Source organism: Homo sapiens, chromosome 17, assembly GCF_000001405.40.
Source record: "Homo sapiens chromosome 17, GRCh38.p14 Primary Assembly".
NCBI classification, from domain to species: Eukaryota; Metazoa; Chordata; class Mammalia; order Primates; family Hominidae; genus Homo; species Homo sapiens.
In genome coordinates this window covers 40,175,684-40,196,791 of record NC_000017.11, presented here as the reverse complement: position 1 = coordinate 40,196,791, position 21,108 = coordinate 40,175,684, and the positions used below count along the sequence as shown (strand labels likewise).

At 53.8% G+C, this 21,108-nt stretch overlaps 1 protein-coding gene and 1 non-coding gene across 8 annotated transcripts, besides 9 other annotated features; both read right to left on the bottom strand.

Annotated features, from left to right (window-relative positions):
- RAPGEFL1 (Rap guanine nucleotide exchange factor like 1) lies at positions 1,142–19,782 on the bottom strand. Of its 7 annotated transcripts, none has more exons than XM_047436203.1 (16): positions 19,670–19,782; positions 18,411–19,300; positions 15,098–15,176; positions 12,443–12,578; positions 12,114–12,211; positions 7,814–7,926; positions 7,417–7,584; positions 6,261–6,358; positions 6,030–6,152; positions 5,298–5,476; positions 5,120–5,210; positions 4,529–4,579; positions 4,099–4,186; positions 3,802–3,866; positions 3,375–3,429; positions 1,142–3,128 (listed from the first exon to the last, which is right to left on the bottom strand). In XM_047436203.1, the coding sequence occupies exons 2-16, from the start codon at positions 18,928–18,930 to the stop codon at positions 3,004–3,006; spliced, it is 1,989 nt and encodes a 662-aa protein (XP_047292159.1). In that variant the 5' UTR covers positions 18,931–19,300; positions 19,670–19,782; the 3' UTR covers positions 1,142–3,003. The 7 variants fall into 7 exon arrangements, with proteins under 7 accessions (XP_047292159.1, XP_047292161.1, XP_047292160.1 ...); XM_047436205.1 differs by lacking the exon at positions 18,411–19,300 and adding an exon at positions 15,337–15,493; XM_047436204.1 differs by lacking the exon at positions 18,411–19,300 and adding an exon at positions 15,419–15,493.
- Positions 1,849–2,349: an enhancer, noted in NCBI's record as "H3K4me1 hESC enhancer chr17:38350695-38351195 (GRCh37/hg19 assembly coordinates)". NCBI's record gives its function as "activates a minimal SCP1, AML or CMV promoter by ChIP-STARR-seq in primed H9 embryonic stem cells {active_cell/tissue: H9 hESC(primed)}" and the evidence as "EXISTENCE:reporter gene assay evidence [ECO:0000049][PMID:30033119]".
- Positions 2,175–2,224: an enhancer, noted in NCBI's record as "active region_12133". NCBI's record gives its function as "activates an Ori minimal core promoter by ATAC-STARR-seq in GM12878 lymphoblastoid cells {active_cell/tissue: GM12878}" and the evidence as "EXISTENCE:reporter gene assay evidence [ECO:0000049][PMID:35858748]".
- MIR6867 (microRNA 6867) lies at positions 3,129–3,195 on the bottom strand. The gene has a single exon (NR_106927.1). It is a non-coding gene; the product is annotated as a microRNA 6867 (primary transcript).
- Positions 5,051–5,130: an enhancer, noted in NCBI's record as "active region_12132". NCBI's record gives its function as "activates an Ori minimal core promoter by ATAC-STARR-seq in GM12878 lymphoblastoid cells {active_cell/tissue: GM12878}" and the evidence as "EXISTENCE:reporter gene assay evidence [ECO:0000049][PMID:35858748]".
- Positions 5,251–5,310: a silencer, noted in NCBI's record as "silent region_8483". NCBI's record gives its function as "represses an Ori minimal core promoter by ATAC-STARR-seq in GM12878 lymphoblastoid cells {active_cell/tissue: GM12878}" and the evidence as "EXISTENCE:reporter gene assay evidence [ECO:0000049][PMID:35858748]".
- Positions 17,339–18,193: an enhancer, noted in NCBI's record as "H3K4me1 hESC enhancer chr17:38334851-38335705 (GRCh37/hg19 assembly coordinates)". NCBI's record gives its function as "activates a minimal SCP1, AML or CMV promoter by ChIP-STARR-seq in primed H9 embryonic stem cells {active_cell/tissue: H9 hESC(primed)}" and the evidence as "EXISTENCE:reporter gene assay evidence [ECO:0000049][PMID:30033119]".
- Positions 18,194–19,050: an enhancer, noted in NCBI's record as "H3K4me1 hESC enhancer chr17:38333995-38334850 (GRCh37/hg19 assembly coordinates)". NCBI's record gives its function as "activates a minimal SCP1, AML or CMV promoter by ChIP-STARR-seq in naive H9 embryonic stem cells {active_cell/tissue: H9 hESC(naive)}" and the evidence as "EXISTENCE:reporter gene assay evidence [ECO:0000049][PMID:30033119]".
- Positions 19,281–19,410: a silencer, noted in NCBI's record as "silent region_8482". NCBI's record gives its function as "represses an Ori minimal core promoter by ATAC-STARR-seq in GM12878 lymphoblastoid cells {active_cell/tissue: GM12878}" and the evidence as "EXISTENCE:reporter gene assay evidence [ECO:0000049][PMID:35858748]".
- Positions 19,442–19,942: an enhancer, noted in NCBI's record as "H3K4me1 hESC enhancer chr17:38333103-38333603 (GRCh37/hg19 assembly coordinates)". NCBI's record gives its function as "activates a minimal SCP1, AML or CMV promoter by ChIP-STARR-seq in primed H9 embryonic stem cells {active_cell/tissue: H9 hESC(primed)}" and the evidence as "EXISTENCE:reporter gene assay evidence [ECO:0000049][PMID:30033119]".
- Positions 19,943–20,443: an enhancer, noted in NCBI's record as "H3K4me1 hESC enhancer chr17:38332602-38333102 (GRCh37/hg19 assembly coordinates)". NCBI's record gives its function as "activates a minimal SCP1, AML or CMV promoter by ChIP-STARR-seq in naive and primed H9 embryonic stem cells {active_cell/tissue: H9 hESC(naive and primed)}" and the evidence as "EXISTENCE:reporter gene assay evidence [ECO:0000049][PMID:30033119]".

The following is a 21,108-nucleotide window of genomic DNA, read 5'->3' as shown; positions in this document are numbered from 1 at the left end:
GATCATTTTTCTGAGATGCAGAAGACTGAGGCAGAAACAGATGTGAATGGGGATTATCAAGGGCCCAGGTATAGCTATTTGAGTGTATGATGTCTCCTGGAACTCAGGCTATCATTTAAGCCTAACGCTAGGCTCTCTGCACCCTATAATCTTAGTAGGATTGGGCCAGGCGCAGTGGCTCAAGCCTGTAATCCCAGCACTTTGGGAGGCCGAGGTGGGCAGATCACGAGGTCAGGAGATCCAGACCATCCTGGCTAACACAGTGAAACCTCATCTCTACTAAAAATATTAAAAAAAAAATTAGCCCGGCATGGTGGTGGGCACCTGTAGTCCCAGCTACTTGGGAGGCTGAGGCAGGAGAATGGCATGAACCTGGGAGGCAGAGCTTGCAGTGAGCAGACATCACGCCACTGCACTCCAGCCTGGGCAACAGAGCAAGACTCCGTCTCAAAAAAAACAAAACAAAACAAAACTTAGTAGAACTGGTAAATATTGGTTGTGTGAACAGTACATGCTGTCTTCAGGGGACAGACCTGGGTTAGGGGACCAGTGCCCTCACTAGTAATTATTCTGGGACTGCTGTGCCTCAATCTTCTACCTTAGCATTAGAATTAAATGTGATCTCATATTTATGCCACCTGGAACATGTATGAACGAAAACATCCCATCCCCTCTTCTGAGTTCCAGGCATTATGTGACATGTCTTGTGAGGTTGGCATCTTTTCCTCTCATCCACATTTTCTTTTTTGGCAGAGTCTTGCTCTGTTGCCCAGGCTGGAGAGCCACTGCGCCTTGCAACCTCCGCCTCCTGAGTTCAAGCTACTCTCCTGACTCAGCCTCCCAAGTAGCTGGGATTACAGGCATGCACCACCACACCTGGCTAATTTTTGTATTTTTAGTAGAGACAGGGTTTCACCATGTTGGCCAGGCTGGTCTCGAACTCCCGCCCTCAGGTGATCTGCCCGCCTCGGCCTCCCAAAGTGCTGGGATTACAAGCATGAGCCACTGTACCCCGCCACCCACATTTTCAAAGTCACTCCAGAACAGCCCTGCTCCTGACAGCACTGGGCGGCCATCCCCTCTCCCCTCCCTCAGCACTTCCACAGCCTCAAAGAAAACAGAATGGAGAACAACAGGCAGGTTGATTCATAGACTTTATCGGCTTCTTCTCCACCCAGCGGTTTCTGCAATGACAACCGCGCCTGTACAATACACATGGTTCACTCTGTTAAAGCTGCAGGGCAACGGGAGGGGGCTGGGGGTCCCTGGGCAGGCATCAAGGCTAGGGGTAAGCAGCAGCCAAGACTGGGCCAGTGGGTCCCAGTGTCCGACCCAGAGGGTGGTGGCAGCTGGAGTTCCAAGGCTGTTGGAAGGGGTCAGGAGGAAGGCTGGGAAGCCAGGGGCTGCAGGGAGAGGAGAGTGCATCAGCAGTAGCAGGGAGGGGGCAGGGAGCAGAAGGGGGCCCATGGGACACTGTCAGGGCAAGAGGGCATGGGACACAGCACCTCCTATGTCCATAGAGGATTTTTGCTGCAGGAACAAGACAGATCACTGTATAAAAGGGTCTGTACAACATTACCTATGATACAATGTTCACATATGATACAAGGCTCTTTCCCTCTTTGAGTTTTAAAAAATAAATGTACAATTCCAGAGCTTTGGGTAAAAAATATATACACCCTCATAGCAGGAGCAGCAGCTGCTTTTGCTACGGCTGTTGCTGTCTCTTCAAAAGGGAAAGAGGTGGTGCCAGAAAGAAGGGTGAGTCTGTGCCAGGAAACCTCACCCAGTAGCTGCCAGGAGCCCCTGCACCCCTCAGGCCTTGAGGCTGGTGATGGGAGAGGGAGGGGAGTAAAGGTAATAAAGGCCTTGCCAGAGTCCAGTGGCGCCTTTACAGTCTCTGCCATCCCCCTCCCCCACTTTGGGGCTGCCTGCCCCAGGTATAGGGATCCACCCCACCCCAGCTCTATGGGGAGGACAAAGGGAGAGTCAAAGAGAGAGGGACAGAGACCATGTTGTTGGTGTCAGACACATGAGCCAGAAGGGGGATGTCAACTCCCTCCTTAGCAGTTAGATATCCCAAAAAGCAGGAGTGTGGGCAGCAGACAACCCTAGCTCCTGATACTGCTCTACCCGAGCCCACTGCAAGGCAGGGGGAGGGTCCTCTAGGCAGCTGAGGCCTGTGTTTCCCTGAGCATCTTTTACCCTCTCATCAGAGCCCATCCCTGGACCTTCCAGAGGCCTGAGTGGGGGACTTGCAAGGGCTGATGGGTAACCCCTCCCACCTGCTGCTACTCCCTGCCCCAAAAAGCAGCTTGGCTCACAAGCCTGGGCATGCAGGGCAGCACGAGGAGCTGAGCAGGGAGTGTGGGGGTGGAGAAAGCACCCCGCACCATCCAGGGGCAGAGTAGACAAGGGTAGCACCAAACAGAAGGACCCCTCCCCAGCACACACAACATCCACCCTCAATTACCAGATGCACTCCTGCTCCCTAAAAGAAGACACACACACACACACACACACACACACACACACACACACACACACACACACACACACGGCAACATAATATTCCTGGGGGTCCCAGCCCTGACCAGGAAGAAGCTGGACAGGTGGTGGAGAAGAAGGCTGCCAATCCCTCCCACAATCCCACTCTGCAAGACAGAAGGGTGAGCAGCATTCTTTCCTGCTGCAAGAGGAAGTTGGAAGCTCCATCCCCAGAACAGATCTCGATGGGAGGACATAGAGGAAGGAGCTTTCTATCCCCTTTCTCAGAGGGGACAGGAACCAGCAAAGTGTAGTTTTGGCTTGAAGGAGCAATGGGGAGGGGACTTCAGCAGGATGAACAGACTTATGGGTCCAGGGGTAAATCCATCGACCTCTTTCCCGTGGAGCAGGAAGTTGCTCCACGGGAAAGATGTCAGATGTTGGTTGAGACATCGTGCAAAGTGCTTGAGTGCCAGGTGCCCAAGGATCTGGCGGGTCTGACTGGAGCCTCCACTCTCACTGACTGTTTGCCTCCAGCTTGTAGGAGAGCTCGAAGAGGAGGTTCTGGTTGTCGATGACCTGAAACTGGCGCACATAGGCCTTGGTCTGCAGGTGATTGGGGGATGCCTCCATGTCCAGGCCTAGTGGGTAAAGAGGGAGAGGCAGTCAGGTTCCCAGCTTCCCTTCTTCCTCTACACACACACCGGGCAGAAGATCAGGCTGTGGACTGAGACAGATGTTGGGCAGGAAGGCCTCTGCAGAGGCAAGGAGAGAATGGGGAACCAGCAAGTGTATGGAAATACACATCTGGACAGGGAGTTCTCCCCTGAACCCTCCCGTTCAGTCAAAGCTCTATCTGTACTGCTCTCAGTACCCTGGGTACTCACAAAGGGGCCGGCTCCGGTATTTGCGGATTGTCCTCACTTTTTCGGCCACTGAATGCTGGGAGATGACAAGGAATGAGCCTTGAAAGGGGCACAGAAAGAGGCTCCCCCTCTTATGCTCCCCCTCCGCCATTCTCCCACTCTGCTTTACTCCCTCCAGTCTCCAATTCTGGAGGGTCTCTGAAGGACCAAAGGAGTGGGTGTAACAGAGTGCCATGTGAGGGGGAGGTGAAGTTGCCCCCAAGCTGCCTGTCAGCTCTGCCACCTGTGGGTGGGTTGCCACAGTGATGCCACCAGGGAGACAGTCAAGAGTCTGTTAGGCAAGCTGGGCACTTGGAGGAAGGCTGCTATTTTTGGGAGGTGATGAGAGAGGGAGAGGATGCAAGCCCCCCACTTGTGGGACTAGGGGTTTGCAGTGCCACTCACTCACCAGCTTCTCGATGTTCACCAAACCATCTACAAGGGTCTTACTCCCTTCGTGCAGGAAAGTCAGGTCTAGGGGATGTGGAGAGAATCCAATGTGAGGAAAGGATAAGAGAGGAGTTCGAAAGGGGCCACTGCACCCGAGGACCCCGCTCTTCCCCAGAACCCACTCCGTCTGTGGTGGGGGGCTCCTCTCCAGGTGGGTACTCAGGGCTGAGTCGAGAGGGAGCTGGAAGTCAGAAGCAGGGCATAGGAGAAGGGAAGCATGGGTGGAAGCGGCACAGCTTGGGAGTAACTCTCTCACCTTTGAGGATCAGAGGCACGAAGGGAATCACAGGGGGCTTCATTTTGGAGATCACTTCTCGGTAGCTTTTGTGGTTCCTGCAGGGGTCCTAGTATTCCACAGGAGAGAGATCAAGGGACAGACTGGCCAATGCATCCCAAAGATGTCCTCAGCTTCCTCCCTCACCCCCTGCCTTGTATACATTCCTGATCAGATAGGGGTGCTGGGGGCTTTCTAATGGTGTGGTGGGGAGGGACCTGACTACTCCCCCTTTCCTTCAAGAAAAACAGGGGCGCAATCCTTCCAACCTCACCCTCCAGCATGGTAAGGAGGGTGGGGGGTCCCATACACTAAACACCTTGAAAGGAAAGCTTGAGGAAGGGGGTTTATGGGAACAGAGGGTTTCTGGGCTCTCAGTCCAAGAGCAGAAGAAAGAGCCAAACCCACTCACCGTCAGGTTCTCAAATTTGCGAAACAAGTTCTTGAATTTCCCTGGCAGCTTCTGCAGAGTTTGAAGGAAGGAGAAGGGATATCAGAGTGGAGCTCCTTGGGTTACATGGGAGCCTCGGATTAATTCTCCCTGTTGGAGGGCAAAAGGGCCTGCATGGCTTGTAGGGGGCTGGGAAGCTGGTGGGTGGGGAAATGAAGTCAGGCCTTGGCTAAGTCTAGAGGCTTGAAACAGCCCAGAGGAATTCATTATTCTGGGGAAGGCCAGGTCTGTCTTATGCAGGTGCTTTGTATAAAGATGCCCCCACTGAGTGTGGATGAAAATCAGCCCAACTCCCACAGCCAAGTCTGCGACCTGACCTGGCCAAGGGCTGCCTGCCGTGACTCAGGCGGGATCCGGGCTTTTCACTAATTTGCACAAAGACAGGGTCCATTAGCCAAGCTGTGCGCCCTGGGGTTGCGTATGCCAGAAGAGGGCGCCTCCCTCCAACTGGCGCAAAGACTCCCTCCAGGCCGGCGGCCGTCCCGGGAGGACGCACTTCGGGGAGCCCGGGATGCCCAGATTCCCAGGTAGGAACGGGAGGGGTCTCATCACCTCCCAGGTGAGTCGAAGGCGGCTGACAGCGGCGTTGTCCAGCCCCATGACCACGGCGTAGAAAGACAGCAGGTCCTGGTTCTGCTTGCAGCTGCGGGGGTGGGAGGCGGGGTCAGGGGCGGGCGGCGGCGCGGGCCTCCGGCCTCCGGCCCCCCATCCCGCCGACGGCCGCACTCACAGGGCCGCGATCTTGATGAACTTCTTGAGCAGCTGCGCGCGCTTGCCCGGGGCCTCGCAGAGCAGCACTTCGGTGGCCACCCAGTGCGTGACCTCGCTGCAGCGCTGCAGCAGCAGCTCCAAGTTGGCCGTCTCCCGGCGGCCGCGCTCCCCGTGGAACACGTAGTCCACGAACTCCAGCTGCACCCACGGCAGCGGAGGGGCGGCCAGGGCGCCAGGGGGTGAGGGGAGTGGGTGGGAAGATGGCAGTGCAAGGCGATGAGGAGCGAAAGGCAGGAGGGCGGGGGCGGAAGGGGTGGAAAATAGAAAAATAGAAAGGACAGGAGGCGGCAAAGATGCGGAAAAAGAAAACAACCAGCATTAATAATATTTCACCAGCTACTGAGCACTTACTAGGTGCCAGGCATTCGCTCACGGCTGACATCCTCAAGACAACCATCTGCTAGGCATTATTGTCTCTGCCTTATTTTATTTCTTTAATAGTGAATATTTTAAAAATAGAAATCCTGGGTCAGGTTCTGTGTAAACAGCACTTGGGCCCTGAGCCACTGTGCTCTGGGGTCTCTCTCTTTGCGATTTTTTTCAGATGGGGGAACAAAGGTTACGGCCATGCGTTGCCCAAGGGCTTGCTGCAAGTGAGCCTTGGAACCAGGACGTTGTGCTGCGAACACCGTCTCCCAATGGCACATTTCTCCCTCCAGCCCCCCAGCATAGCACCAGCCTCGGTCCCCACCTCATGCACACATCGGAACAGCTCCCAGTGGAAGGCAGTTAGGTGGTTGGCAACGTCCTCAGGCTCCACTCGGTGGATCTCTGTGTCTCCAGGGGAGACCTGGATCTCCTCGGGGAGGGGCACCTGGTGGCAGGCAGGGGCATAGGGGCTGGGCTCCTGGTGGCAGGGTGAGGGATTGCTCACAGCCCTCCTCAGCCCTCCATTCCAGTCAAGGCCTTGGGAAGTTCTTACCAGAGCCTCATAGCTGTCCCGAGTACAGGCAAACAGGTGGCTGTTGATGCCCAGTGCGGTGAAAACACAGTCCTCAGTGGGCTGGAGAAGGACCTTCTCTGCAGGAGAAAGAGCTGCTCATCCTCGGCCCCTGCCGCCTGCACCCTCACACATCCCACACTGACACTGTCCTATCCAAAAACTCCTCACCCCACACTGACACATTCTAGACTAATGGAACTCATCTTATCACTAGTTTATGCCATATTTATCTGGAATTTGTCAAATGATTATTTCTTTTGCATTTATAACTTTTTTTCTACTCCCTTTCTTTCACAGCTTTTCTCTTACTCTGTTGTCCTTGTGACACTGGGAAGGCTGAAATTTTTTCCTACTGTAGAGGAAAACAAAGCTTCAGTGACATTGCTGGCTTTCTGCCTTCCCACTCATCCTGTGTCTTTAGCCTGTGAAATGTGGCATCCTTACATACACAGGGAGGTTAAAGGATCAGAATACAATCCATAGGTGAGTGAGGGGCAGCACTCAGATCAGAACCTGAGTCCTAGACCAGTGCCTCCCAAACTTTTTTTTTTTTTTTGAGACGGAGTTTCGCTCTTGTTGCCCAGACTGGAGCACAGTGTCTTGATCTCGGCACTGCAACCTCCGCCTCCGCGGTTCAAGTGATTCTCCTGCCTCAGCCTCCCAAGTAGCTGGGATTACAGGTGCACACCACCATGCCCAGCTAGTGCCTCCCAAACTTTAGTAGGCATAGGAGTCCCCTGGGGGGTCCTGTCCAAATGCTGATTTGAACAAGACCAGCAGGTCGGGGTGGGGTCGCAGATGCTGCATCTCTTTTAGAGACAGAGTCTTGTTATGTTGCCCAGGATAGGGCGCAGTGCCTATTCACAGGTGCAATCATAATGTACTACCTTGGATTCCTGGGCTCAAGCAATCCTCCTGCCTCAGCCTCCTGAGTAGCTGGGACTGCAGGTTTGCACCACTGCACCCAGCAAGATGCTGCATCCTAACAAGTTCCCAGGCGATGCACATGAGGCTTGTCCCGGGACCATACTTTGAGTAGCAAGGGCCTAGAATTCAGTCTCTACCCCTCCCCCAGAGCCCTGAGCTTGTGAGTTTCTCCTCTCGGAGCATCAGCCCAGTTCTTCCTGACCCTCACCTCCAGAGGAGGACACAGCTACCAGGATGAGGGAATCCTCACGCCCCGCGGGCTCCTCTGAATATTGAAGTTTCTCCGTCACAGAGCCCAGAATGTCCTGCACAGATGCTGAAAGGCGGCTGCGTATGGTCACATAAGAGTGGTCAGGCATGTATACACGGCAGAAGACTGGACGGAAACAGGAAAATGGCTTTCAACAGAGGGCAGAGTGGCAGCAGCTGGCACAGTCTCCTCCAGGGTGCCTCTATTCCCCACCAGAGGCTGGCCTCTGAAGAAGGTCCTGTGAAAGGGGCTGGTTCTACCACCCAGGGAGATGCCACTGAGGGTGCTCAAGACCCAGAGATATGTCCCCCTGAGCCACTCAGGACACCCTGCCCCTCCTAATGCCCACACTCACTCTCATCAGAGCCCCGGAAGGCCACCCGGGTCTGCAGACAGGAGTCTATCCGGCGGAAGTGGCGGAAGAGTGGCTTCACCTGCTTGCTGGGTGGCTGGTTCTCCTCTGGAATCCTGGCATGGACACAGCTGGGCATCAGCACGCCCTGCCAGGCATATGGACAACCAACACCAAGCAGGCAACATCAAGCAAGAATATCAGAATTGGGTCAAGGATGCACCAGCAGCAATTTCAGGTGGTTAAGGGGGTCAGAAGAGAGGACAATGAGCAGTATGGGATAATTATCCAAGTAACCCTAATCAAATGCCACCTCTTCCATGAATTCTTCTCTGATCCACCCCACCCACCAGGAAGGTCACTTTCTTCTCTCAACTACTATAGAACATTGGGATAATGTTTATGTTCACCTCTTATCTCTTCTATGAGATTGAGAGCTCTTGAGGACTGGGATTTGGTTCTTACTGAGTATCTTTTCATCCACCAGGGCCTAACACACTGCTTGACACATGGTAGGTAGTAGGTCAGCAGCTGTTTGCTGAATTTTGCTGAAAAGAACTTCACAGTCTAGGAAGGAGATAGACAGGCATACAGCTACTTCTAATACCAGGCAGGAGGTGTTGATAATATAACAAAGGTACCAGGAGAGTTATGCTGGTGTGGGGGAAGAAGAAAGCTATTCCTAAAAGGAAGATCTGGGAAGTTTTCATTGAGAAGATGGCATTTGACCTGGGCCTTGGAGGAAAGCAGGAAGAGAAGGAGGTGGAGGCCAGGTGCAGTGGCTCACACCTGTAATCCCAGCACTTTGGGAAGCTGAGGTGGGCAGATCACTTGAGGCCAGGAGTTCAAGACCAGCCTGGCCAACATGGTGAAACCCCGTCTCTACTAAAAACACAAAAATTAGCCAGGCGTAGTGGCGTGCACCTGTAATCCCAGCTACTTGGGAGGCTGAGGCAGGAGAATCGCTTGAACCCGGGAGGGGGAGGTTGCAGTGAGTTGAGATCACGCCATGCACTCCAGCCTGGCAACAGAGCAAGACTCCATCTCAAAAAAAAAAAAAAAAAAAAAAGGCCAGGCGCGGTGGCTCACGCCTGTAATCTCAGCACTTTGGGAGGCCAAGGCGGGCGGATCACGAGGTCAGGAGATCTAGACCATCCTGGCTAACACGATGAAACCCCGTCTCTACTAAAAAAAATATAAAAAATTAGCCGGGCGTGGTGGCAGGCGCCTGTAGTCCCAGCTACTCAGAAGGCTGAGGCAGGAGAATGGTGTGAACCTGGGAGGTAGAGCTTGCAGTGAGCCGAGATCACACCACTGCACTCCAGCCTGGGCGACAGAGCCAGGCTCTGTCTCAAAAAAAAAAGAAAACATGGTGGGAGGAGGGCATTCTGGGGTGGACAATATAACCGACCATGGGAAGTTCGAGAGCGCAGGAGTTGAGGTGTCATGGATGGAGGGGATGTAGGAGATGAGATGGGAAGGATCAGCAGAAGGCAGAAAGGGAAGGGTATTGAATGCTGGGATGTTTCACTTTCTCTTGGAAGCATGGGGAGCAGGGATGCCTTTGGAACAGGAGCATGAAAGATCTCTCTAGTGTCAGCACAGAGAAGGCAGAGAAGGATGCTAGACCACAAGCTGAGGCCTCCCTAAGGGTTGTGGTGGTGGGGACAAGAGAAGAGAGAAACTAAAAGGGCAGAATGGATTCATGGATGGATGGATACAGTGGTGTCCTGAAGCTGGTTCACACTGGCTCACAAGAGCATACTGTTAAGTTCTGGGGAATTTTACCAACTGTTTTTTAAAGAGCCATTAAAATATAAATAAACAAATATATCTCCATATATAAATATATATGTTTTATAAACTTATAGTCAGGCCAGGTGTGGTGGCTTACACCTAGAATCCCAACACTCTGGGAGGCCAAGGTGGGAGGATTGCTGGAGCCCAGCCTGGACAACATAATGAAACCGTCTCTATTAAAAAATAATAATACAAATTAATAAATAATACATAAAATTTATAATCAAATAAGTTGTTACCAAAAAAACAGTTTCCTTCCTGTTTTCACTACTTTTTTTTTTTTTTTTTTGAGACAGAGTCTTGCTCTGTTGTCAGGCTGGCGTGCAGTGCTGCAATCTCGGCTCACTGTAACCTCCACCTCCTGGATTCAAGCAATTCTCCTGCCTCAGCCTCCCGTGTAGCTGGGATTACAGGTGTGTACCACCACGCCCGGCTAATTTTTGTATTTTTAGTACAGACAGGGTTTCACCGTGTTGGCCAGGATGGTCTCGATCTCTTGACCTCATTCTGCCTGCCTCGGCCTCCCAAAGTGCTGGGATTACAGGCATGAGCCACCACACCCAGCCCACCTCTTTTTTTTTTTTTTTTTTTTTTTTTTTTTTTTTTTGAGACGGAGTCTCGCTCTGTCGCCCAGGCCGGACTGCGGACTGCAGTGGCGCAATCTCGGCTCACTGCAAACTCCGCTTCCCGGGTTCACGCCATTCTCCTGCCTCAGCCTCCCGAGTAGCTGGGACTGCAGGCGCCCGCCACCGCGCCCGGCTAATTTTTTGTATTTTTAGTAGAGACGGGGTTTCACCTTGTTAGCCAGGATGGTCTCGATCTCCTGACCTCATGATCCACCCGCCTCGGCCTCCCAAAGTGCTGGGATTACAGGCGTGAGCCACCGCGCCCGGCCTTTTTTTTTTTTTTGAGACGGAGTCCACTCTGTCACCCAGGCTGGAATGCAGTGATGCAATCTTGGCTCACTACAACCTCTGCCTCCTGGATTCAAGACATTCTCCTGCCTCAGCCTCTTGAGTAGCTGGGATTACAGGCATGTGCCACCATGCCTGGCTAATTTTTGTATTTTTAGTAGAGATGGGGTTTCACCATGTTGGTCAGGCTGGTCTCGAACTCCTGATCTCATGATCTGCCTCTCATGATCTGCCTGCCTCAGCCTCCCAAAGTGCTGGGATTACAGGCGTGAGCCACCGCACCCGGCCTTTTTTTTTTTCTTTAGAGACGGAGTCTCGCTCTGTCACCCAGGCTGTAGTGCAGTAAGGTGATTTCAGCTCACTGCAACCTCCATCTCCTGGGTTCAAGCAATTCTCCTGCCTCAGCCTCCTGAGTAGCTGGGACTACAGGCACGTACCACCACCCCCAGCTAATTTTTCTTTTCTTTTTTTTTTTTTTTTTTTTGAGACAGAATCTCACTCTGTCGCCCAGGCTGGAGTGCAGTGGCATGATCTCAGCTCACTGCAACCTCCACCTCCTGGATTCAAGCAATTCTTCTGCCTCACCCTCCCAAGTAGCTGGGACTACAGGAGCGCCCTACCACGCCCAGCTAATTTTTGTATTTTTAGTAGAGACAGGGTTTCACCATATTGGCCGGGCTGCTCTCAAACTCCTGACCTCATGATCTGCCTGCCTTGGCACACAGCCTTTTTTTTTTTTTTTTTTTTTGTAGTGGAGACAGGGTTTCACAATGTTAGCCAGGCTGGTCTTGAACTCCTGACCTTAAGTGCTCCACCCATCTTGACCTCCCAAAGTGCTGGGATTACAGGCATAAGCCACCTTGCCCAGCCATTTTACTACCTTTTACTACATCTACTGTATGGTGGAGATACTACATAACAGCCTGTGCTGCATGTCTCTTCCCAACTCCTCTTTCAGTGTTGTCACATTGGTAGCTTGAAATCAGCCATGGTGACAGAGTTTACACTGTAGGAATCAGCAAAAGCTACAAATCAGGGCTCTTTCTCCTGCAGCACTGGTTGTTAAATATTTACCAGTACACCACTGGATTATCAGACAAATGAATGGGAGAATGGACAAAAAAGTGACTGGAGACAGTGCTTTGTGCCACCCTTCAGTGAGAGAAAGGAGCTGAAATAAAACCATATTGGAAGCCAGACACAGTGGCTCACACCTGTAATCCCAGCACTTTGGGAGGCTGAGGCAGGCAGATCACTTGAGGCCAGGAGTTCAAGAACAGCCTGGCCAACATGGTGAAACCCATCTCTACTAAAAGTACAAAAATTAGCTGGGCATGGTGCACCCCTGTAATCCCAGCTACTCAGGAGGCTGAGGCATGAGAATCACTTCAACCCAAGAGGTGGAGGTTGCTGTGAGCCGAGATCGCACCACTGCTCTCCAGCCTAGGCGACAAAGTGAGACTCTGTCTCAAAACAAACAAACAAACAAGCAAATCCATATTGCAGCCAATAGGCCAGAGGCAGCCCCTGTAGTAGAGGAACGCAGGGGACCACTTTCCTGTTCCCGCCCCTGCCCCACTCCCCCTCACTTTAGTTCCACCGTCTCCACCAGCTGGTGCAGCCTCAGAGTGTCCTCTCGGAGGCCCTGGTAAAGGGACTCGTCCTTCATAATTAGCAGGTATAGATCCTGGAGAGAGGAGGACAAAGAAGGTGAAGGAAGGGGTCTCATTCCAAGGGCTACTCTCTGCAGGGGCCGGGCAAGGTCTCCATACCTTTAAGCACAGGAGAGCCATATAAGCTAAGGCCCCCTGGCATCTCTTCCTTCCAGGTACCCAGAATGAGAAGTATGGCTCCTTCACAGGGGCCCCCTTCCAGAGCTAATAGCCTGTTTACCCACCTTCTCTTCCCCCAGGCCCACCTTGATGATGTGGCCGGCCCCCTCTTCCTCTTGAAGCAGCCCCTGGTAGGTGTCCAAGAAATGGAGAAGCATGGCTAGACAGGCTTGCTTCCGGCCCAGCCCTTCAGGGCCCTCCATGCCTCCTGCCCGAACAAAGCTGACCCTTAAGTTAAGAAAAATCCCTACGCAAGCAGACCTGAGGAATTGAGAAGAAAGATGGGAGGCTAGGCTGGGCGCAGTGGCTCACGCCTATAATCCCAGCAGTTTGGGAAGCTGAGGCGGGCGGATCACCTGAGGTCAGGAGTTCGAGACCAGTCTGGCCAACATGGTGAAACGAAGACTCTACTAAAAATACAAAAATTAGACGGGCATGGTGGTGTGCACCTGTAATCCCAGCTACTCTGGAGGCTGAGGCACAAGAATCGTTTGAACCTGGGAGGCAGAGGTTGCAGTGAGCCAAAGTCGCACCATTGCACTCCAGCCTGGGCGACAGAGAATGACTCTGTCTCAAAAAAAAAAAAAAAAAAAAAAAAAAGGCAAAAAAAAAAAAGGCCAGGCGCGGTGGCTCACACCTGTAATCCCAGCCCTTTGCAAGGCTGAGGCAGGTGGATCACTTAAGGTCAGGAATTTGAGACCATCCTGGTCAACATGGTGAAACCTCATCTCTACTAAAAATACAAAAAATTAGCTGGGAGTGGTGGCGTACACCTGTAATCCCAGCTACTCGGGAGGCTGAGGCAAGATAATCACTTGAACCCGGGAGGCGGAGGTTGCAGTGAGCCGAGGTCAGGCCATTGCACTCCAGCCTGGGCAATAAGAGCAAAACTCCATCTCAAAAAAAAAAAAAAAAAAGAAAAGAAAAGAAAAGAAAGATGGGAGGCTAAATTGCCCCCAAGTATTCTCTAGATTTGGGGCCAGAGAGAAAGGAGTTTCGGTGGTCCTGAAGCCAAGACCTCCTCATGCCCCAGCCCAGGCTTTTGCTTAGAGTAGGTAGCGATGACCACTTGACCACATCCAGCTCCTGCAGGTTAGACAGGTTAGATTTTCACTTGAGGATACCCTGCCCAGACCCATCCAACCTCTGACCAGCCCAGGGCCTGGAGCTCACAGTGCGCCTAATAAATGCCAATGGTGTTTACCACAAACCTGACTATACCTCACTGGAAGGCCTGATGTTTCTAAGACAGCTTGTTACTTTTATTTATTTATTTATTTATTTATTTGAGAGGGAGTCTCACTCTGTTGCCCAGGCTGGAGTGCAATGGCATGATCTCAGCTCACTGCAACCTCTGCCTCCTGGGTTCAAGCGATTCTCCTGCCTCAGGTTCCTGAGTAGCTGAGATTACAGGTGCCTGCCACCAAACCCGGCTAATTTTTTGTGTTTTAGTAGAGACGGAGTTTCACCTTGTTGGCCAGGCTGATCTCGAACTCCTGCCCTCAAGTGATCCACCCGCCCCAGCCTCCCAAAGTGCTGTGATTAAAGTCATATGCCACCGTGCCTGGCTGGGAGCCTGTAACATTCTACTCAGTGGTCTGACATTTACAATTAGGTCCTAAAATAACTCTGTGAGAGGCCCATGCTTACATGAGACCCTATGAATAGCCCATCCAGTGGCTCCTCTCTAGCGGACCCTACTGAAGCACAACCATGGCCTGATGTTTACATCAGACCCCATCATAACTCACTGGGCAACCAGATGTTTTAGAGCAATAATTCAGTGGGGATAGAGGTGCCCTTAGTAGAATAATAACACCTTGGCTGGGCGCAGTGGCTCACGCCTTTAATCCCAGCACTCTGGGAGGCCAAGGCAGGCGAATCACTTGAGGTCAGGAGTTCGAGACCAGCCTGGGCAACATGGTGAAACTCCGTCTCCACCAAAAAATACAAAAAGTAGCCAGGTGTGGTGGTGTGCGCCTGTAGTCCCCAGCTATGGGGGAGGCTGAGGCAGGAGAATCGCTTGAACCCAGGAGGCAGAGGCTGCAGTGAGCCAAGGTCGCACCACTGTACTCCAGCCTGGGTGACAGAGCAAGACTCCATCTCAAAATAAATAAATAAATAACACCTTTCATTTGTACAGGGCTCTGCAGCCTCCAAAGCACTCCCACATCTGCTATCAGACTGATCTTCATAGCAGCTAATAGATAGGCAGGGCAGGTGCTATTTACCTCCATTTTACAGAAAAGGAAACTGAGTCCCCATGAGGTTAGGTAATCTGTACAAGTCACACAGCTGATGAGTAGAAAAGCTGGGACTGAAACCCAGGTATGTTTTCTTTTCTTTTTTTTTTGAGATGGAGTCTCACTCTGTCACTCAGGCTGGAGTGTAGTGACGCGATCTCGGCTCACTGCAACCTTTGCCTCCCGGGTTCAAGTGATTCTCCTGCCTCAGCCTCCCAAGTAGCTGAGATTACAGGTGCGTGGCACCATGCCTGGCTAATTTTTTCTATTTTTAGTAGAGATGGTGTTTCACTATGTTAGCCTGGCTGGTCTTGATCTCCTGACCTCAGGTGATCCGCCTGCCTCAGCCTCCCAAAGTGCTGGGATTACAGGTGTGAGCCACTGCACTCGGCCCCAGGTATGTTTCCTAGGGGAGAGTTTAGGCTCTGAGATTGCATGTGGGACGGAGGGAGTGGCTCCCTTCTGACCTCTCCTTTTCCAAACTCCACAAAAGGATATTACTGGTGTAGCTCCTGCAGAAATTTCTCCGTCGGGAGGAAGAGAGAATGGGTAAGGACAATGTCATCCAGCAGGATATCTGTAAAGATCAGTGGGCACCACAGATGTCAGGTGGGCACTTCCAGAACGAAACTGGAAATGCAGTGCCTCCCTCTCTTGCCCCTAAGGGCAAGTTCTCTTTAGCCAGGCTGGAGCCCCAGCCACCTGCCTTGTCATGCTCTGCACACGCGCACACATACATGTGTAAAGGTTCTGGGCAGCCACTGCGAGGGTGGGTTCGGCAGCTGCCAAGGCAGCTGAAGGGAAGGGGGGGGCGCGTGCCTTTGATGGCCATGTGCACTTCTCTTCAGCGTATGTGGGAAGTTGGTCAGATAACACACCAAGGTTGAGTTCTGCCTGAAAAAAGAAGTAGCCCACAGAAGTGTCTCCAGACAAAGAGTATTTCCAAACACAGAGGTTAGCATCAGTGGGGACTGTGTGTGTGCATGTGTGTGTATCCCTCTTCCCCTCCCCATTTCCCACCTAACAGCTTTGAGTTCTAACTAGGCAGGTGGGAACCAGCCTGATTAAAAGGGAGATGGAGAGACTGCCATCACTTTGATCCCAGAACCTTTAAATAGAAATCCTGTGTCCTTTAGGGGCCCAGAGACAGAAGGGTTAATGATGGAATGGTGAAGGGGAGCGGCTCCTCTCACCACCCCTTTCCCCTCCACACCCCCGTCTGGGCCTGGCTCAGCCAGTCAGCCGGGTACAAGGTCGCCCTGACTTGCAGCCAGCCCTGGGGTGGGGCAGGGCCACCTGGCACACACAGACAGACAAGGTGCAGGGAGGGAGCCAGGTGTCCTCACCAGGACTGGTTAGGGCCAGGTCCCCAGGCACTGTCCCAGGACAAAACCAAGGCTTCTGACTCCCCTTGGTTCACTATCTCCTGTGGTCAGTTCTAGCCATGCAGGCGGAGGAGGAAAACCAACACAAAGTAATTGACTTCAAGGATTTCATTTCGCAAATGTGAAACTGAGGCCCAGAGCTGGGAGGGACTTGCCTGGAGCTGGAATAAGAACCCAGAATCCTGAGTCTTTGTCCTTTTCTCAATATGCCTGAGGCAAGCAGAGTGTTAGGGTAAAACCTAGCGGTCAGAGGGGGCTGCTTGGACGTTGGAGAGGCTTTGGTAGGTTCAGAGTAACTTCTGTAAGTTCTCTCCTCCCACACACCCTGGGAGGAGACCAGGATGACTTGAGAACATTGGTTTTATTGGAGAACATCAGAGTGGCAGGTTAAGCTGATTCTCATTCACCTGGGACTGGTTTGGAATTTCCCAAACTAGTTACTCTGGGGATCCAGGCTGCCAGATAACATGGGTGACATTTCAGGAGTCTTACCCCAGGGGAGAATGAGCGGAGCGTGTGGCACCAGGCCCCTGTAAAAGGGGAAAGACAGCTTCTCCCTTTTCCTCCCTGCCCAGCTACCCTGCTGTGTTCTTACAATGAGTCAGAGAGCCTCCAGCTCTGACCCCCAGCTTCAGGGATGAGGGTGAGGAAACGAGAGGCCTGACATCCTTCATAGACTTTATCTCACAGGATTCCTAAGCTGGAGCAAAGGAAGAGTAAGATGGGGCAGAGTTGGGGAGATGCTGATATGGGGGCCACAGTTGGGCATCTGTCTTTTCCAAAGCAGGCTCTGGGCCAATGTACAGCCTCCCTAGGGAATGTGTCATAGAGACACAGGGTGTGTGGTGTAGGCGGGAAGTTATGGTTAGGAGAGCTGTGTGTGTCTGATATTTTTCTAATTAAATCCAAAAGGTGTCAGCTCCCCAGGGCAACTACAGCCTGCTCCAAAGGAGAGGACCCAGGTCTTGAGAAGGATCTAGGAGAGTGGAGCCCCCCTCCACACATCTAGGTTGGGGTTCCCTGCCGAGGGCTGAGAGCAAGTGTGAAAGCCCTCACCATTAGGGCCTCAGCCGGGGCTCCCAAACCTCAGACCCTCCTGGGCTTAGAGTAATGCCTAGAGCTAGACCTAAAGAACCCTCGGTCTTCTACCTCAGAACTAACCAGATTTGGGGCCTTGGTTTCCTCAAAGGCCCCTTAGTAGGGGTGCTGAAAGGGAGTGGTGAAATAGTATCATCATTTAGGGAATAAGCTTCTCAGGGTGTGGTGATTATATTTTAAAGAGGCCGTGTGCCAGGTCCGGTGGCTCACGCCTGTAATCCCAGCACTTTGGGAGGCCGTGGGGTGGGGGTGGGGGGAGGTAGATAACGAGGTCAGGAGTTCAAGACCAGCCTGACCAAGTTGGTGAAACCCCGAAACCCCGTCTCTACTAAAACTACAAAAATTAGCCAGGCCAGTGGCTCACGCCTGTAATCCCAGCACTTTGGGAGGCCAAGGCAGGTGGATCACGAGGTCAGGAGTTCGAGACCATCCTGGCTAACACGGTGAAACCCCTGTCTCTACTAAAAATACAAAAATTAGCCAGGCGTGGTGCCACATGCCTGTAGTCCCAGCTACTCAGGAGGCTGAGGCAGGAGAATCGCTTGAACCTGGGCGGTGGAGGTTGCAGTGAGCTGAGATGGCGCCACTGCACTCCAGCCTGGGTGACAGTGAGACTACATCTCCAAAAGAAAAAAAAAAAAAAGCCGGGTGCTGAGGCCTGCCACCGAAGGGTGGAAGCTGGAGGCGCTTGGACACCCTGGATGCTGCAGGGCCATGATGCCGGCCCAGCCACCTCTCCCCTCCCAGACACCTTCTGAGTCCAGCCCAAGGAGAATACTATCCCCCCCACCAAACTGCTAAGGACAACGCATCCCTTTGCTGATGCCTAAAAGGCAGCTTGGGGCCTGTGCCTGTCTGGCACTGCCTCCCTGGGTGGGTCAGCCTGCGCTGTGTAGGCCTCTGAACAGTCAGGGACCCCAGGGTTTTCAGGGCTAAAGCACCTCTGGCGGGTGGCATGGCTGCGCTGGGCAGCTCCCATTTTAATGTGTCAGGCCCTAATTTGGGGCCACAGGAGGAGGTATTCAACATCAGGGACCCATGGGAGTCAGTGGCTCCAATGCCCAGGGGAAAGGAAGGGTGGCTGAAGGAGAGTAAGAGGCTCAGCTGCTTCTCCAGACGAGGGTGAGGCTGCTGTAGGGAGGAAGGTGAGTACTGCTCTCCTCTTCCGCGGGAGGGTCTGTACCTCCGCTAGGCCCCTAGCCGGCTTCCGCGGACCACTCAACCCTATAACCAAGCCCCGGCACGGCGCCACCCCTACGCTCCAAGGGCAAGGAAGAGGAGCCGGGGCCAGCCCCTGCTCTGGGTGTTCGAGCCCACCGGCTCCTTACCTGAGGCGGCGCTGTCCCTGGTAGCCCCTCCAGCAAGCCGCTCCAGAACCCGGTTCAGAAGATGCTCGGGCCGCTCGGGGGCGCCCAGAGGGGCCCAGGGCGGCGAAGTCAAGGGCTCGCCTGGGGACAGCTCGTCAGATGAGTAGGAGGAAGGGGAGCGCAGGGGCCCCCCTCCCCCGAGAGGCCCGGGCCCCGGCACCTCCTCCAGCTGCAGCCAGCAGGGCCCCCCGCTGCCCGGCTCCTCCGCGACCCCCGCCGGCTCTCCTCCTTCCTCCTCAGGGGGCGGCTCCAGCCCCGGCTCGGCGGGGGGCTCCCGGAGGAAAGCGGGGAGCAGCAGGCGAGACACGCTCTGACGCCGCTGCAACGACCGCTGTCCCCCGGCTGGACCGCCGCCCCCGCCGGGTCCCCCACCCCCTCCAGGCCCACCGCAGCTCCCCAGACCCCCGCCGGGACCTCCCGCCACCGTTCGGCCCGCCAGCTGCGACGTCTGCTTCTTCAGAAATTTCTCCAGCGGCTTCATGCCCCCCCCCGCCCCTCTCCTAGGGGTCGCCGGGGGACCCAGGTATCCCAGGCGCGGGCGGGGGGGGCGGCGAAGACACGATGCTCAGAGCTGGAGGAGCAGAGTAGAGGGCCGTGCCAGGCGCCAGACTGGGGGCCAGAGGGGCCGAGCCTCGCTGGCCAGAGTCCAGTGGCCAGTAGCCGGGGGAGGTGCCAGAGGAAAGGAGTGCTCGCTCTCAGCAACCCCCCATGCCGGCTGCAGCCGGCACGCGGCCCGAAGAGTGGGCAGGCTGCGGGGCCGGTGCGCCCGGCTCTGCGCTGCGGCGGCAGAGGCAGCGGGCGGAGCGCAAGGCTGAGAGGACGCGGCGGCGGCGGCGGCGGCGGCTGCGCTCCTGGCCGTGAAGAGGGGGAAGGTGGCAGAACCGAGACCGCGCCCCCTCCTCCAGTCCCCGCCCAGTCCCCGCCCCTACCCTTCCTCGGCTCGCCCCCGCGCCGCACGAGGCTTGAACTCGCGCGCTGGGGTTGACCGCGAGGGAAACAGTAAGGGACTTGGGTTCTAAGCAGAAGAAATTAAGGGCAAAGGTAAGTCAGAGATTTACCAATGGGGAAGGATTCCTGGCTCAAGGGATAACCGGGTCTCAGCATCATTTCAAAGAGTCAGGACAGGTCTGTGGCCTGGACACCTTCACTCACCTACCTGTGTACCCAAGTCAGGCCTACAGATTGCTGAACCCAAGAGTGTGCACCTTTCTCATACTCACAGAAATATGTGGAGTTTATCTTCCTTCTGTGAGAAGAGCTGGGAAGGCCTCTTGGGTGAATTAGCATTGCCACTGGAGGCGGTGCCCATCTGTCCTCTCTGGTAGGGCACAATAGGTGGTGTGGGCCTGGTCTGTGGGCAGGTACTGGCAGGCAGGTAGGAGCCAGGCAGGGAGCAGCAGGTTGTGGCAGGTCTAGCTGGGGTGAGGAGGGGATAATAGGCAGTGGGGAGGAGACCAGGAGCACAAGGGCACCTGAGCCCAGCTGGCAGCAGAAGGAAGCAGGGCCATGGAGACAGGTGACAAGCCCCAGAACTGCCGACTATCATCAAGCACAGAGCCCAAGTGTACATGGCCATGGAGTGGGAAAAGTGGTGCCAATTAGCACTCCAAGTAATCCTTACTCCTGATGCCCACACCAGGAGCATTCTGTCCTTAAGGATATGCTGCCCCAGAAGGAGTGTGGGGGAGGAGGGGGGTGCATCGTAAAGCCATGCTAAGTGTGAGAACATCCAGGTTAGACTTACAAGGTGTGGGAGTGGCAGCAGGTTCTCGATGGGTTGAGGCTCTCTGGACAATGCCCCACCCCTGTTTACCGAGCACCAACCAGGCAGAGACAGGAATGCTAATGGCTGGGAGTGGTAGTAAAACTGAACAGGGTGTGTATGACATACGTATCAATGTATGTGCATATCTGTTCCCATGTGTGCTAGAGCATGTGTTCACAGAAATAAAGCTTTGCACACCCATCTGTTTGTGGATTTGGAAACAGTAAAAAGAAGACAGCGCACAATTTTGGCTAAGAAGCTGTATTAGAGGTCTGAGTATCAGCTTCCTGTGCTCCCCTTATTGGACACTCCAATATCCCCTGGCTTGAAAGGGGAAAGTGGCTGGAATGGGTTGGAGCTCCCCAGGTAGCATTTTATGAACTGAATAGGAAGAGGGAAGGGCTTCTCTCCCAGCACATGCCACAGTTACCAGATTAAGCCGGTTGCCTTGGTAACCTTCTCTCTGGGCAGGATTTGGGAATTGTTGGTTAGGAAGGGCGAATTGGGGAGTGTGAAGGGTGTAGGGGGTTGAAAATAAAACAGACTGAGAGACTTCTGGAAGCTAGAAGCTTGGGACACAGGACCCCAGTACTCCCCCAAATGCTCAAGGATGTCAGGCAGAGACTAAGTTCAACATTTTGAATCAGTGAGGAGAGCCAGCATCAAGTCATGGTCCTCCTGGAGTGGCAGTGGTTTTCACCCTGACTACACACTGGAATCACAGGGAAGCTTCTCAGAAATACTGATGCTGGCTGGGCTTGGTGGCTCACGCCTGTAATCTCAACACTTTGGGAAGCCAAGGCGGGCAGATCACTTGAGGTCATGAGTTCAAGACCAGCCTGACCAACATGGTGAAACCCCACTTCTAAAAATACAAAAAAAATTAGCCGGGCA

Coding starts and splice junctions, on each gene's coding strand:
- RAPGEFL1 (XM_047436203.1), bottom strand. CDS start 18,930: ATGAAGCCGCTGGAGAAATTTCTGAAGAAGCAGACGTCGCAGCTGGCG. Junction 3,430..3,801: donor TGGTGAACATCGAGAAGCTG/GTGAGTGAGTGG, acceptor GTCATCTCCCAG/CATTCAGTGGCCGAAAAAGT. Junction 3,129..3,374: donor ATACCGGAGCCGGCCCCTTT/GTGAGTACCCAG, acceptor TTTACCCACTAG/GCCTGGACATGGAGGCATCC.